The sequence below is a fragment of the Homo sapiens genome, chromosome 5 (genome assembly GCF_000001405.40).
Source record: "Homo sapiens chromosome 5, GRCh38.p14 Primary Assembly".
Taxonomy (NCBI): Eukaryota; Metazoa; Chordata; class Mammalia; order Primates; family Hominidae; genus Homo; species Homo sapiens.
The window spans coordinates 43,102,739-43,118,286 of NC_000005.10; the positions used below are offsets into that span (position 1 = coordinate 43,102,739).

Genomic DNA, 15,548 nt, shown 5'->3' on the forward strand with positions numbered 1-15,548 from the left:
AGCAGGTAGTACTGTGAGCCAGGAGCAAGTCTGGGGTTCCTTTCCTTTCCTGCTTCCACCATGTATTTAGCCTTTTTTCACAGCTTCAGCGGTGGCCTGTGCTCTCCAAGGCACTCTGGACATGTGTCTGTCCACCTCCCCAAGTGCTGGCTTTTAGCTAATGTAAGCTCCATTGGGATGCAGCATCTGTGTCTTCTTGAAGGAACTGCGGCATCTTGGCAAGTTCAGTCATTGATTCTTAGGCAGGTGGGTCTCAGTGTTTTGGCCTCTCTCAACTCTGGGAATGTCTCCTTGCCCTGTGTATACCAACACAACAGCCAACATGCACGAGAGTTCAAAAAGGGCAGCTGGGGTGATACTTACCTGATTCGGTGTTTTCAAATTTCCGAGTTTCACCCTTAGGGAGCTAGTTTGCAGTTTGGTTCTTTGCAGTTTGGTTCTGAGAGCCATTCCTGAAGTTCAGTTGAAAATCTGCCTTCACCTTTCCATCAAATTTTAAGTTATCTTTAACCCCTAATAAATCTCTATAGGCTTAAACTATTTGAGTGTGCTGTTTCTTTTCCTAAAAACCAGAAAAGGAAATATGAGTGATATCACATTCAATTTTATGTCTACAAACTTATTACATCCTTTTTAAAAATAATGTTCTTAAAGAAATGAATCTAGGCCGGGCACGGTGGCTCATGCCTGTAATCCCAGCACTTTCGGAGGCCGAGGTGGTCGGATCACGAGGTTAGGAGATTGAGACCATCCTGGCTAACACAGTGAAACCCCATCTCTAATAAAAATACAAAAAAACTAGCCGGGCGTGGTGGCAGGTGCCTGTAGTCCCAGCTACTCTGGAGGCTGAGGCAGGAGGATGGTGTGAACCTGGGAGGCAGAGCTTGCAGTGAGCCGAGATCGCGCCACCACACTCCAGCCTGAGCGACAGAGCAAGACTCCGTCTCAGAAAAAAAAAAAAAAAAAGAAAGAAATGAATCTAGATTCCTTAATAAAACATGTAAATATTCAAGATATATTTTGTTTTTAGGATATTTTGAGAATGTTTATTTTTTATCATCACAACTTTTAGACAAGAAAAACACAAAAGAAGAAAAACTCTCAACATTTCATCTTGAAAGTTTATAAATATTTTTTCTTAATACTCTCCCACAAAGAAGTAAAATATTTAAATAGACATTTTGGTCTCTTTTGTACATGTTAATTCCTATCTTTTTTATTATTATTTTTTTCATTTTACTTTGTGTGTGTGTGTTTTGACGGGGGCGGGGGGCGGGGGGCAGTGTCCCCGTGTTACCCAGGCTAGTCTTCAACTCCTGGCCTCAAGCAATCCTCCTACTTCAGCCTCCCAAAGCCCTGGGATGACAGGCATGAGCCACCACGCCCTGCCAAATTCCATTAACACAGTGTTCAGAACAGGAGCAAGGAGCTCCTCCAATCCCTGCTGAGTACCGAACTAGTCCAGAAATGGGGGCATCAGGAGTGTGATGTGCTTAGGAAATGGGAGTGCTTGTGGTTGGGTGGGGTGTGGGAGAGAACCATGAAACTGAAAGTGAAACATGAAGATGAAAGTGCCGCTTCTTAGATGAAAATTGTCCAAGGAAAGTTTTCCCACGTAACCAGATTCCAGACCTACCCCAATCCCAAGTCCCAGATGTACCTAGATTGTATGATTGAATTTGAGACCCATAATTACAGCTCCATTGTCACTGACCATGCTGGAGCCTCCCACACACAATCCCTAGTCTACAGGCCTACCCTGCTTGCAAACAGAAAAATGTCATTCTCTAAACCCATGCTAGGATGACTGCAGAATAGGCCAGAATCAGACGTCTGTCCCCTACCACTTGCTCTTCTCCAGCCCAATTATTTGATCCAAAGCACTAAGAAGCAGGAGAATGGTAGAGATGGCAGGGAGAGCAACAGGAAGGCGTCAGAAAGGCACCCTGGCACACTCGGACTAAATGTTAGGAGGACTCAGTAGAGGCATTTCAGGGCTAAGCACAGTTGCCGGGGCTGTTGTCTGTCTGCTGAATCTTTCGGCAGCCCAACCCATGTCCGCGATTTTGACTTCTGGCAGCTCTCTACCCTTGGCCGGCTTCCCCCTCCCAGAAGCCCTCAAATCCTGACCACAGACAACCCCACCACACACCCCTTGGCCAACAAAGCCAAGATACCCAGGACCAAGGGCCAGTTCCCCCAATGAGCCTTCCCACCACCACCCACCCCGCCAATCTCCTCTTTCCTCAACGACCAACCAGGAACACAAATGTAATCCTAGCACTTTGGGAGGCAGAGGCGGGTGGATCACGAGGTCAGGAGCTCGAGACCAGCCTGACCAACATGGTGAAACCCCGTCTCTAGTAAAAATACAAAAATTAGCCAGGTGTGGTGGCATGTGCCTGTAATCCCAGCTACTCAGGAGGCTGAGGCAGGAGAATCGCTTGAATCCGGGAGGTGAAGGTTGCACTGAGCCGAGATCGAGCCACTGCACTCCAGCCTGGACGACAGAGCAAGACTCCGTCCCCCCCAAAAAAAAGCCTGCATGAGTCCTGATGATGGCCTTGGAAAAGATGATGAGGGCACAGGATCTAGGAGCTATCCGAGCAAGTGAATCTAGGGAGAAAAATAATGTGAAAGAAAGAAAACTGAGAGGACAGGAAGCCTTGGTTGGGAAATATAAACAACAACAAACCAGGAGAATTGAAGAGTGAATCAAACTACAATGGACATATCACCTTTTGTCCACTAGAGACACTACTGCCACATGCCCTCCCTCCCGACGGTAACCTTCATTTTCGGGGGGGCGGAAGAGTGGGGAGAAAGACAGTTTGGCTTCGGGTTCCTGCTGGCAGATCCATTCTGTCCTCGGTCCTCGTCCCCTTGGTTTTGTATCCTTGAAAGCAGGGAATGACACTGAAGAGGACTAGCGGTGCGATCCTGCATTTTAGTTGAAGGACCAAATCTCATCTCTCCCAGTGTTGGGACTGATGACTCCTGCACTACTTGATGATCTCCGGTGCCTTGAGGGGAGGACCATGGACTTGGCTGGTTTCAGCAGCCCAGCGGATTTCAGCGTTTGACAACCTGGAAGTTCTGCTGCCCCCTCACGGTGGGAGAAAAGCGGTGGGTCCTGCACAGGCCGAAGAACCACTAGAGGGCAGCAGCACACGGGCTCCATAAGACTTGCTGCGTGTCGACCCTGGCTCATACAGTGCTAAGAGAATTGATCAATGCTGTCGTTCTAAATTCAGCTATGATGAGGTGGTGCTGCTTTCCACAGACTGGGATGTTTCTAGAACTTTCTAGGACTTTCATGTCTAGCATACACCTGAGATGACTGTAGAAAGTCCCTCAATGAGTCAACCGTTGGTTTTATCCCTAATAAAATGGGTTCATGGGGTCAGGAGTTGAGGTATTTACTGCCTTCCCTCCCCCTCCACACACACATCCTTTATGCTTAGATTTTTCCATACCAGAAATTTGAATCATGTGGGGAAAGCATCCACTGTAAGTTTAGTAACAGTTTGGCAAAGCCTGAAAATTATGTGTAAAATAGTGCTTTAGGAGTTCTAGAAACTGAATAACAGACTCATTTTCTGGTATCTTGACTTTCAGAAGGCAAATGAATCATTCTTAAAACAGTTTAGTTTAAAAACAAATGTCAACAAGCATTTGTTGAGTGTCCGCCATGAAGCAACCACTGTACTAGGCTCGTGGTACAAAGATGACAAGACCAGGGCCAAGACAAGAATTTGGGCTGAGGGAGACAGCAGGCACATTTGACGTGACACTTCTTATATGTGGAAGGCCTCACAGACAGAGCTACAGTGACAGGACTGAAAGATGCTAATTCTTCAACTTTAAATTTTTGTCCCCCTAGGGCACGATGAATTATTAACAATATGTTATTTCTTAGAATTCCGAAAATTAGCTTTTGAAAAGCTGGATTATATTGTATTATATTCTGATTTGTGAAAAAGTAGAAATTTGTTAAATGTAAATATTTAAAATAGGCTACAATTTTTGGAAACTTGGGATTTCTTGATTTTTTTTTCTTTTTGAAATGGAGTCTTGCTCTGTCCCCCAGGCCGGAGTGCAGCGGTGCGATCTCGGCTCACTGCAAGCTCTGCCTCCCGGGTTCACGCGATTCTCCTGCCTCAGCCTCCATAGTAGCTGGGACTACAGGCACCCGCTACCACGCCCGGCTAATTTTTTTGTATTTTTAGTAGAGACAGGGTTTCACTGTGTCAGCCAGGATGGTCTCAATCTTCTTACCTCGTGATCCGACCGCCTCGGCCTCCGAAAGTGCTGGGATTATAGGCCTGAGCCACTGCGCCTGGCCGATTTCTTGATTTTTTAATATACCAGGAACCTCTAAAATGAAAGTGGCCCTGATGACCTCTAGGAGACCACAGAGAAGATATAGTCTCAGTTTCCTCAAAAAAATTCTAATCTAGGGGAGAGAGACACATTAATAGGCCACTTTAGTACCGTGTAAGAGGAAGCTTTCTTAAGCCCTATGCATGAATCCTTTAAGACAAACCAATACCAACAATTTGCCAAAAACATGTCCTAAACTGCACTGCTCAGTGCTGAGAGAAAGCATGCTGAATTTTTAAAAATATTTTTTTTAGTCAGAGCTATGAGAGTGCTGAATTTTATCATTCTATGTATTCTTTATTTTTCAATTAATTCCATGTCCTATTCTGCTATTCTTATTTTTTCAATAAAGATTCTAAATGTGTTGATACAGCTACCTTGTCTGTTTTTATGTAACTAATGTCATCTTATTAAGTGATATTATTAGTAATCTCTATTTCAGGAAAACACAAGTTATTTGATTACAAGTATATTCAAATCAAGGGTCTGCACTAAAACCATCCACATCTTCTCCCTATCACAGGTTATCAGTACAACCCTCAATGTCTCTATCTTCACCACTATAATGTTATTTTTTGGCCAGGACTCTGTTCGCTTGGCCCTCAAAGAAAACAACAGGAGCTTAAAAGATTCAGAAGAACCCAATGAACATATAAAAGTGTTACCTTCATCACTAAAAATAATGCTCTGGACTCTAAAGTTTACACACAAGGGGTGATGAGGGAGGGAGCCTGACTAAACTCATGCTTTCTCACTATTGCTCCCTGGTTTTCTCCTAGCCTTTTGAAACTCATTGATCACTATCACTATCAAGCTAGCCATGAGCATGGGCACTGATTCCCTTTTAACTCTGTCTGACCCAACTAAGGACAAAACATTGATTACCAACTTACACAAAAATGGAATATTTAAAGGAGTCTTTAGTGATAACATCTCAGAAATGAACAATGAGAATAAATCCAAACAATCTTTTTTTTTTTTTTTTGAGAAGAGTTTTGCTCGTTGCCCAGGCTGGAGTGCAATGGCGAGATCTCAGCTCACCACAACCTCAGCCTCCCGGGTTCAAGCGATTCTCCTGCCTCAGCCTCCCAAGTAGCTGGGATTATAGCATGCACCATCATGCCTGGCTAATATTGTATTTTTAGTAGAGACAGGGTTTCTCCATGTTGATCAGGCTGGTCTCGAACTACTGACCTCAAGTAATATGCCCGCCTTGGCCTCCCAAAGTGCTGGGATTACAGGTGTGAGCCACCGCGCCCAGCTCCAAACAATCTTAATAAAAAGGAGGACTCAGATGTGGGTTAAAAGCCTAAGGTGCTACACCCTAGGAATAAAGGAGAACTGGTAATAAACTAGTTCTCAAAAGGAAGTAAGTTAATCTTCGAATTATCTCCCTTTCTTTTTTTTTTTTTTTTTTTTGAGACAGTTTCGCTCTGTCGCCTAGGCTGGAGTGCAGTGGCACAATCTTGGCTCACTGCAACCTCCACCTCCTGAGATCAAGCGATTCTCCTGCCTCAGTCTCCCGAGAAGCTGGGATTACAGACATGTGTCACCACGCCCGGCTAATTTTTGTATTTTTAGTAGAGACAGGGTTTCACCATGTTGGCCAGGCTGGTCTCGAACTCCTGACCTTGTGATCCGTCTGCCTCAGCCTCCCAAAGTGCAGGGATTACAGGCGTGAGCCACTGTGCCCAGCCGAATTATCTCCATTTCTAAAATTGAATTAAGGTTATCCCAATTGCCAATACCCCTAGCTGCCAACCAAAAGCAAAATTCTTCTATAGAGAAAGATAAAATTATTGCAGGCCTCAAAGTGTTTGTAAAAAATTTCCCATACAGTATCCAGCATTCAATTTTAAGAAAATGAAAGGCAATAGAACATGAAGAAACACTGAGAGAAGCAACAACGAAACAGTCTCTAGATACCGAGACACAGACTGTAAAATACCATTCAATATGAATAAGAAAATAAAAGACAAGATTGAGAAACTCATAGAAAATTAGAAATGATAATAAAGAAGCAAAAATAACTAAAACATAAAGCAGCCATGGCCAGGCACGGTGGCTCACGCCTGTAATCCCAGCACTTTCGGAGGCCGAGGCAGGTGAATCACTTGAGGTCAGGAGTTTGAGACCAGCCTGGCCAACAGGTGAAACCCCGTCTCTACTAAAAATACAAAAATTAGCCGGGTGTGGTTGTGGGCTCATGTAATCCCAGCTACTCGGGAGGCTGAGGCAGCAGAATTGCTTGAACCTCGGAGGCAGAGGCTGCAGTGAGCTGTGATTGCGTCACTGCACTCCAGCATGGGTGACAAAGTGAGACTCTGCCTCAAAATAATAATAAATGAAACATATAGCAACCAAATCAATAACTCAATGAGTTTAACAGAAGATTAGCACAGCTGAAGAGAATTAGTGAACTGGAAGAAAAATCAGAAGAAAATGTCCATGAGGAAACAAGGAGAAAAGACAAGAGATGGGAAATACAGAACAGATGGGAAAAGACACAGAGTGTACAACAAGAAAACCTAATAAACGGGTATTTGGAATCTCAATAGGAGGTTGAGAATTGAGCAGCAGCAACATAAAAAATATTGTGCCACATCCTTCTGTCCTCTGTGGTTTCTGATCAGAGGTTTGCTGTCATTTGAATTGTTTTTCTCTGTAGGCGAGGTTTTGGGTTTTGTTTCTTTTTCTGACTGCTTTCAATAATTTTTTTGCCTTTAATTTTTATAAGCTTAATTATGTTTCTTGGTGTCGATTTATTTCAGTTTATACTTTCTAGGGTTTGGTCAGCATCTTGAATCTGTACCAAATCTTACCACATTTGGGATGTTTTCAGCCATTATTTCCTCAAGTACTTTCTCAGCCTCACTCTTTCTCCTCTCCTTCAGGGTTTCTGAGAACACAAATGTTAAATCTTCTATTACAGCCCCACAGATTCCTGATGCTCTACTTATTTTTTTCCCCCGTCAATTTTTTCTCTGCTCTTTAAATTGGGTTGTTTTGATTCTTTTGTTTTCCACTTCACTGATTCTCTGTATTCTCTAGTATGCCGGTCAGCTCATCCACTGAACTTTTAATTTCAGTTATTGAATTTTCAGTTATAAAATTTCAATTTGCTTCTTCTTTATATTGTCTATTACTTTACTGAGGTTTAAAAAAATTGTTTCGGCCAGGCACAGTAACTCATGCTTGTAATCCCAGCAGTTTGGGAGGCCAAGGCGGGCAGATCACGAGGTCAGGAGATCGAGACTATCCTGGTTAACATGGTGAAACCCATCTCTGCTAAAAATACAAAAACAAAATTAGCCGGGCGTGGTGGCGGACGCCTGTAGTCCCAGCTACTCGGGAGGCTGAGGCGGGAGAATGGTGTGAACCAGGGAGGCGAAGTTTGCAGTGAGCCGAGATTGCGCCACTGCTCTCCAGCCTAGGCGACAGAGCGAGACTTCATCTCAAGAAAAAAAAAAAATTGTTTCAAGCGTGTTCATAATTGCTCCTTGAAGTATTTTTTATCATGGCTTTTATCACGGTTTTGTCTACTACTTACAACATCTCTTTTATCTGTTGGCATGTATTTACTGTCTTTTACGTTTAGTTTGAGAGTTTCCTGATTTTTGCTTTGAAGTATCAGTGATTTTAAAAATTGAAACCTGTATATTTTCAGAAGTTATGAGACTCTGAGTTTTCTTTAAACCATCTGTTTTACCTGGCTTTTTATGACACTGCTCCCGTAGAGGAAGGAGGTGGGGTGCCAGCTCATTACTGCTAGATGGAGGTAGAAGTCCAAGTTTCCCACCTGACCTCCATTTGACACCCAAAGAGGAGGTTGCACCTGGTTATTACTGGGGCGGAGCAGGAGTTCTGGCTCCCCTCATGGCCTGCATCAGCACTGCAAGTGAAGATGGTCCTATTCCTGCGGAATAATGGTGAAAGTCCTGACTCTCCATCAGGCCTCCTCTGACATTACCTTAGGAGAAGAGGAAAGAGAACCTTGTTACTGCTGGGTGTGGGTGAAAGTCTGAGCTGCTACTTGGCCTCTGACACCACCCTAAAAAGGTGGGAATTGAGGTGCCTCGTTATAGCCTGAAGAAGGCAGATGCTTAGGCTCCTCACCACAACAGGTCTCGCTCTGTCACCCAGGCTGAAGTGCACTGACTTACTGCAGCCTCAAACTCCCCGGGCTCAGGTGATTTTCCCACCTCAGCCTCCTGAGTAGCTGGGATTACAGACACACCACCACACTTGGCTAATTTTCCTGTTTTTAGAAGAGATGGGGTTTTACCACGTGGGCCAGGCTGGCCTTGAACTCTTGAGCACAGGCAATTCGCTGGCCTCAGCCTCCCAAAGTGCTGGGATTACAGGTAGGAGCCCCTGTGCTGGCCACCACAGCCTTTCTGACATGGATGCAGGTGGGGTCACATTTCTTACTGTGGTATTTGGCCTCAATACTAGGACTTTTGTCTAAAAGTTTTGTTTTGCTAGACAGCCCCTTTCCTGAGCCTTTGGCTAAAGAGCAGGCTTTCGTTAAGAGTTTTGTTTTTGCCTGTGCTCATTGGCACTCCTGGCTTGCCCAGCTTCTTTAACTCAAAGTCTGTGACATGTAAGAAGAAAATTCAAGGAGTTTGCCACTGTGTCGTTCTTCAGGTTCTGAGATGCCTATAGTCAGTTTGCTTTTTTCTCTCAATCTTTCGGTTTTTTTTTTTTTCTTTTTTCACTCTGTCCCTCAGGCTGGAGTGCAGGGGTGCGATCTTGGCTCACTGCAACCTCTACCTCCAGGGTTCAAGAGATTCTCCTGCCTCAGCCTCCCGAGTAGCTGGGATTACAGACGCCCGCCACCAGGCCCAGTTTATTTTTTTGTAGAAGCGGGGTTTCACCATGTTGGCCAGGCTGGTCTCAAACTTCTGACCTCAGGTGACCTGCCCACCTCACCCTCCCAAAGTGATGGGATTACAGGCGTGAGCCACCTTGCCCAGCCAATTTTTTTTTGTTTTCTAGATCACATCCAGAGTTTTAAAATGTACTTAGTGGGAGAAATAAGGAAAAATACAACTACTCCAGCTGCCCAAAAATCAAAGTCTTGTGTTCATTTTGCTTTTATAAATGTTGTGGCCGGGCGTGGTGGCTCACGCCTGTAATCCCAGCACTTTGGGAGGCGGAGGCGGGTGGATTTCCGGGTCAAGAGTTCGAGACAGCCTGGCCAACATGGTGAAACCCCGTCTCTACTAAAAATACAAAAACTGCGTCCAGAATTGGTTCCTTCCAGTGGGTTCTTGGTCTGGCTGACTTCAAGAACGAAGCCGCAGACCCTCGCGGTGACTGTTAACAGTTATTAAAGATGGTGTGACCGGAGTTTGTTCCTTCAGATGTTCAGATGTGTCTGGAGTTTCTTCCTTCTGGTGGGTTCGTGGTCTATGCTGACTTCAGGAGTCAAGCCGCAGACCTTCGTAGTGAGTGTTACAGCTCTTAAAGGTGGCGCGTCCAGAGCTGTTCATTCCTCCCAGTGGGTTCGTGGTCTCGCTGACTTCAGGAGTGAAGCTGCAGACCTTTGTGGTGAGTGTTATAGCTCATAAAGGTAGTGCAGACCCAAAGAGTGAGCAGCACCAAGATTTATTGCAAAGAGGGAAAAAACAAAGCTCCCATAGCGGGGAAGGGGACCCAAGCCAGTTGCCACTGCTGGCTTGGGTGGCCGGCATTTATTCTCTTATTCGCCCCGCCCACGTCCTGCTGATTGGTCTATTTTACAGAGTGCTGATTGGTCCATTTTCACAGAGTGCTGATTAGTATGTTTACAAACCTTTAGCTAGACACAGAGCACTGATGGGTGCATTTTTACAGAGCGCTGACTGGCGTATTTACAAACCTTTTGCTAGACACAGAGCGCTGATTGGTGCATTTTTACAGAGCGCTGATTGGTGCATTTACAAACCTTTAGCTAGACACAGAGCACTGATTGGTGTGTTTACAATCCTTTAGCTAGACAGAAAATTTCTGCATGTCCCCACTCAACCCAAGAAGTCCAGCTAGCTTCACCTCTCAAAATTAGCCTGGCATGGTGGCTTCTGCTTGTAGTCCCAGCTACTCAGGAGGCTGAGGCAAGAGGATTGCTTGAACCCAGGAGGTGGAGGTTGCAGTGAGCCGAGATAGCGCCACTGCACTCCAGCCTGGGTGACACAGTGAGAATCTGTCTGAAAAAAAAAAAAAGTTGTGTTGGCCTGGTGCAGTGGCTCACACCTGTAATCCCAGCACTTTGGGAGGCCGAGGCAGGCGGATCATGAGGTCAGGAGTCAAGACCAGCTTGACCAACATAGTGAAACCCCATCTCTACTAAAAATACAAAAAATTAGCCAGGTGTGGTGACGGGTGCCTATAATCCCAGCTACTTGGGAGGCTGAGGCAAGGGGGTGGAGGTTGAACCCGGGAGGTGGAGGTTGCAGTGAGCCAAGATCGCGCCATTGCGCTCCAGCCTGGGCAACAGAGTGAGGCTCCATCTCAAAAAAAAAAAAAAAAAAAAAAAAGTTGTGTTAAACCATTACTTTCTGAGTTTTTGGCACCCCAAACAAATGTCTCACTCTCCTCACTCTAGCCCTGGCCTTCTTTGGAAATCATCTTAGAGGCTGCCTATACAGCAAGTGAAAATAAAGGTGACTTCAGACAAAATCTGTGAGAATTTGTCACCACCAGAAAGTGAAAATAGTTTGAAGTTTGGAAGTAGAAATTAAATGATGAGTAACATAAAGGATTTACCCTTATGTGCAAATCTGAATGGAAGTTAACCACGTGAAACAATCAAAACAATGTCTTGGGGCATTTAAAATATATGGATTTAAAAAGCAGAAGACCTGGGTGGAGGGAGAATGAAGGAAATTAAAGTGTCATTGTTTGGGAAAAGGGTAACTGTGATTTAGATGTTTTAAATCTAGAATTCATGATGTAATCTCTAGGTTAACCACTAAAAGAATATATAACTATCAAGTTAATAGAGAAATTAGAATCATTAAATAATACAAAATAAGGTAAGAAAGAAAAGTAACAGAACAGTAAGACAAGTAGAAAACAAATGTTAACGTAACCGATTTAATCCCAAATATATTAGAATGACATTAAAACTGACGAACTGGCCGGGCGCGGTGGCTCACGCCTGTAATCCCAGCACTTTGGGAGGCCGAGGCAGGTGGATCACGAGTTCAGGAGTTCAAGAAACAGCCTGGCCAAGATGTTGAAACTCCATCTCTACTAAAAATACAGAAAAAAATTTGCCGGGTGTGGTGGCGGGCACCTGTAATCCCAGCTACTCCGGAGGCTGAGGCAGGAGAATCGCTTGAACCTGGGAGGTGGAGGTTGCAGTGAGCCAAGATCACACCTCTGCACTCCGGCCTGGGTGACAGAGCAAGACTCTGTCTCAAAAAAAAAGAAAAAAGAAAACAGCGATGAACTGGGGCACTCCAGCGCTAAGAGGTAGAGGAAAAGAGGTTGATCCACAAAAAGATCAAGGAGCAGGGTCCAATGAGTTCCATGTTTGCAATAAAAATAAAACAATAAAGGCAGCAACACTTGGATATTAGTGGATCCTTTGACAATAACAACATCCTGGAGGTCTCCAATCTAGGAGAGCAGCAACTATTTCCACACCTGGTTATTATTCCATTTCATATTATTATGCCAAGATGGGACAAGAGCCAAACTTGGACAAAGGATTTAGCAGCCACTGTGAACAACACTGCTGAAAAGAAAACTTCTGGCCTAGTGTGCAATCCGTACTTAGCACACTCTTCTGTGATTTTTGCTACCTGGCCCCTGTCCTGCCTTCTTTCCCAGCACCACAGGAATGATGCAGTACCCTCCAAATTGGGAGTTTCCAAGCCAGAATTAGAGTTTACTAAGTAAAGGCCAATATCCACCAGCTGGGAAACAACTAAGTAACTTTCCTTAAGTGCGTGCTACTTTCCTGAGTCCAGCAGGTTGCCTGAAAAAGAAAAGAAGGAAATAGCCCTAAAAATTGTGTCAGTTTCTTATTTGTGGCATATGTAAAATATCATGTGCTCTTCCAAAAAAGTTTGGACCTGTCATGATCCTTTTTTCATCTTGCTGCATCTGAGGGATCATTGGGGATGCCCTGAATTTTCAGTTCCTTTGGGCAAACACAAAGACAAGCTCATTTTTTGTTCCATAAATGCTTTTTTTTTGAGACGGAGTCTCACTGTCACCCAGGCTAGAGTGCAGTGGTAGAATCTCAGCTCACTGCAACCTCCACCTCCTGGGTTCAAGCGATTCTCCTGCCTCACCTCCCGAGTAGCTGGGATGACAGGCGTGCGTTACAACGCCCGGCTAATTTTTGTATTTAGTAGAGACGGGGTTTAACTATGTTGGCCAGGCTGGTCTCAAACTTCTGACCTTGTGATCCGCCTGCCTTGGCCTCCCAAAGTGCTGTGATTACAGGCGTAAGCCACTGCGCCTGGCCACTTTTTTTTTTTTTTTTTTAAGTCCAGCAGGTAGAATGTAAATCTTATGCTGGAATACAACGATAATGACCGCTTGCTGAAAGCTAATGTATACCAGCTACTAATCCAAGTGTTTCCTGTATGTTACCTCATTTGCTTCCCACAACACTGTTTCAAAGGTGAGGAAATGGAAGCTTAATGAAGTTAAACTACTTGCCTGAAATCACCCAGCTATTAGGTTGAAACAAGATTTCAACTCAGGATCCCAAACCAACCTTCTTAACCACTCTGTTATTTCCTTCCTAATGTTGCCTTAAAACATATAAAAGTGCCTGGATACCACTAGGGTAGCCAGAACTATTTGTCAATTCTTACTAAATTTGAATAATCTATTTTGATTCCACAGAAAATCTATAAACCTGCTTATTAACTGGCACAACATCTGCACCACAGGGAACTGTGTTTTAACACTAACTCATTCTAAGTCATTTACCATGTACCTGACTACGAATATTACTAGTGGAAATCATAATGTCTGGCAGATTGCTATCATATAAATTCCTGGCCACCAACTCCTACTGCATGCTGTTACTGCTGTGCTTCCTGTTGATGCTACTGTGTTATTACTGTGTCCAGGGTCCATTTCAAATCCTTTCCATTCTGTTCTGTGGCAGGCAGCGCCTATGATTGTTCCCAATGATCATGCCTTCTGCTATTTGTGCCTTTGTTCATTACTTTCCTTTGAATGTAGGCTGCCCCTGGTGGCTTGCTTCTAAAATATAGAATATGGCAAGAGTGATGGAATGTCACTTCTGAGATTGGAATACGAGAAACTTTGGTTTCTGTCTTGCTCACCCTTTCTTGCCCTCTCTGATGGACTCTAGCTGCCATGTCCTGTGGAGAGCCTGGCATGAACAGAGGCCTTGCGGAGAACTGAAGCCTTCAGTCCAAGAGCCAGGGAGGAACTGAATTCTGTCAAGAACCACTTGAGTGACCTTGGAAGCAGATCCTTTCCCATTGGAGCCTTGAGATTAAAGCCACCTTACCTGACAACTTGATAGGAGCCTTGTGAGTGACCCTGAAAGCCTAACTATGTGACACTTAGATTTCTGACCCACAGAAAGTGTGAAATAATAATATTGTTTTAAGCCACTAGGATTTGGGGGAATTGGTTACATCGCCTTCGATAACTAATACATCTTCCAGTCTCAAACTTCTTCATATCCAACACATAAATACTTTTTCTCTCCTATTCTTGAATTTTTAGTAGATGACCTGACCATCTATTTCAGGAAGAAAATAGAGGTCTTCAGTTTGATAGGAATTTCCTTAACTTCTTGAAAGCAAATCTACACTCCTGATAACTTTCAATCCATTAATCCCTCTCTTGTACAATTAGCTCCTTTTCCTCTTGTACTTTTATTTTCTTCCTCTGCTGGATCCTTCCCCCTCACCATTTAAATAGCCTAAGTCTCTCCCATCAAAACACACAAAAATAGTAAAACTGGCTAGACTCTATAGGTACTCCTTTCAACTCTTCTCTCATTTTTAAATGAAAGTTCTAAAACTGCTGTCCCAATTTTCCTAGCTATTCCTTAACCTACCTGAATATAGACTTCTCACCTCCCCTCTCTTCCCCTCAGAACTCCATTAAATCTTTTCTTGCTAAGGTCTTCTGCCAAAGACATTCATGATGCTAAATATACCAGACCATTTCCAATCTTTTTTTAGCTTGACCACTTGACCACTTGGCAGCATTTGGCACTGCTAACCACACCATTTTTTTTTTTTTTTTTTTTCCTTGAGATGGCATTCTGCTCTTGTTGTCCAGGCTGGAGTGCAATGGCGCCATCTCGGCTCACTGCAACCTCCGCCTCCTGGTTTCAAGCGATTCTCCTGCTTCAGCCTCCAGAGTAACTGGGATTACAGGCGCCTGCCACCACACCTGGCTAATTTTGTATTTTTAATAGAGACGGGGTTTCTCCATGTTGGTCAGGCTGGTCTCGAACTCCTGACCTCAGGTGATCCTCGGCCTCCCAAAGTGTTGGGATTATGGGCATGAGCCACTGCACCTGGCCCACACCCTCTCTTTTGAAACACTCTCCTTTCACGGCCTTATTGATGTCATACTCTTCCAGTTTTCCATCTTTCTTCAGCTGCAATACTCAGTCCTTTCAGCTTCTTCCTTTTCTACTCAATCCATAAACATTGATACTTTTTAGATAAAAAGTCCTACACTCTCTTCCATTCTCCCATTTGGGACTAGGAGTCCCAAACTCAAATGCTTTCAGGGACTAAGCAAATAAGGAAAATGAATGATAGCTGAGTCTAAAACATTAGAAATTGGTGGGGATTATAGGGAACTGGACAGCTCAAATCCTATGTAGAAAAGGGTTCTCCATTTGGTTAAATTCAATTGCTGTAAAAGAAGAGCGGTCCTATATACTGGAATTTCCAAAAAGCCTATTTTTGTGTCCAATTTCTTCATCTTAAGAAATACCGTGGCCAGGCACGGTGGCTCATGCCTGTAATCCCAGCCCTTTGAGAGGCGGAGGCAGGCGATCACCTGAGGTCAGAAGTTCGAGACCAGGCTGGCCAACATGGCAAAACTCTATCTCTACTACAAATACAAAAAATTAGCCAGGCATGGTGGCAGGCTGTGTGAATAATAACAATTATGATAATATTTAATTTAATTTATGTGTTATTTTATATTTATTTTTT

The 15,548-nt window shown here is 44.0% G+C and overlaps 1 annotated feature.

Moving 5' to 3' along the window:
- Positions 2,869 to 2,978: an enhancer, noted in NCBI's record as "active region_22533". NCBI's record gives its function as "activates an Ori minimal core promoter by ATAC-STARR-seq in GM12878 lymphoblastoid cells {active_cell/tissue: GM12878}" and the evidence as "EXISTENCE:reporter gene assay evidence [ECO:0000049][PMID:35858748]".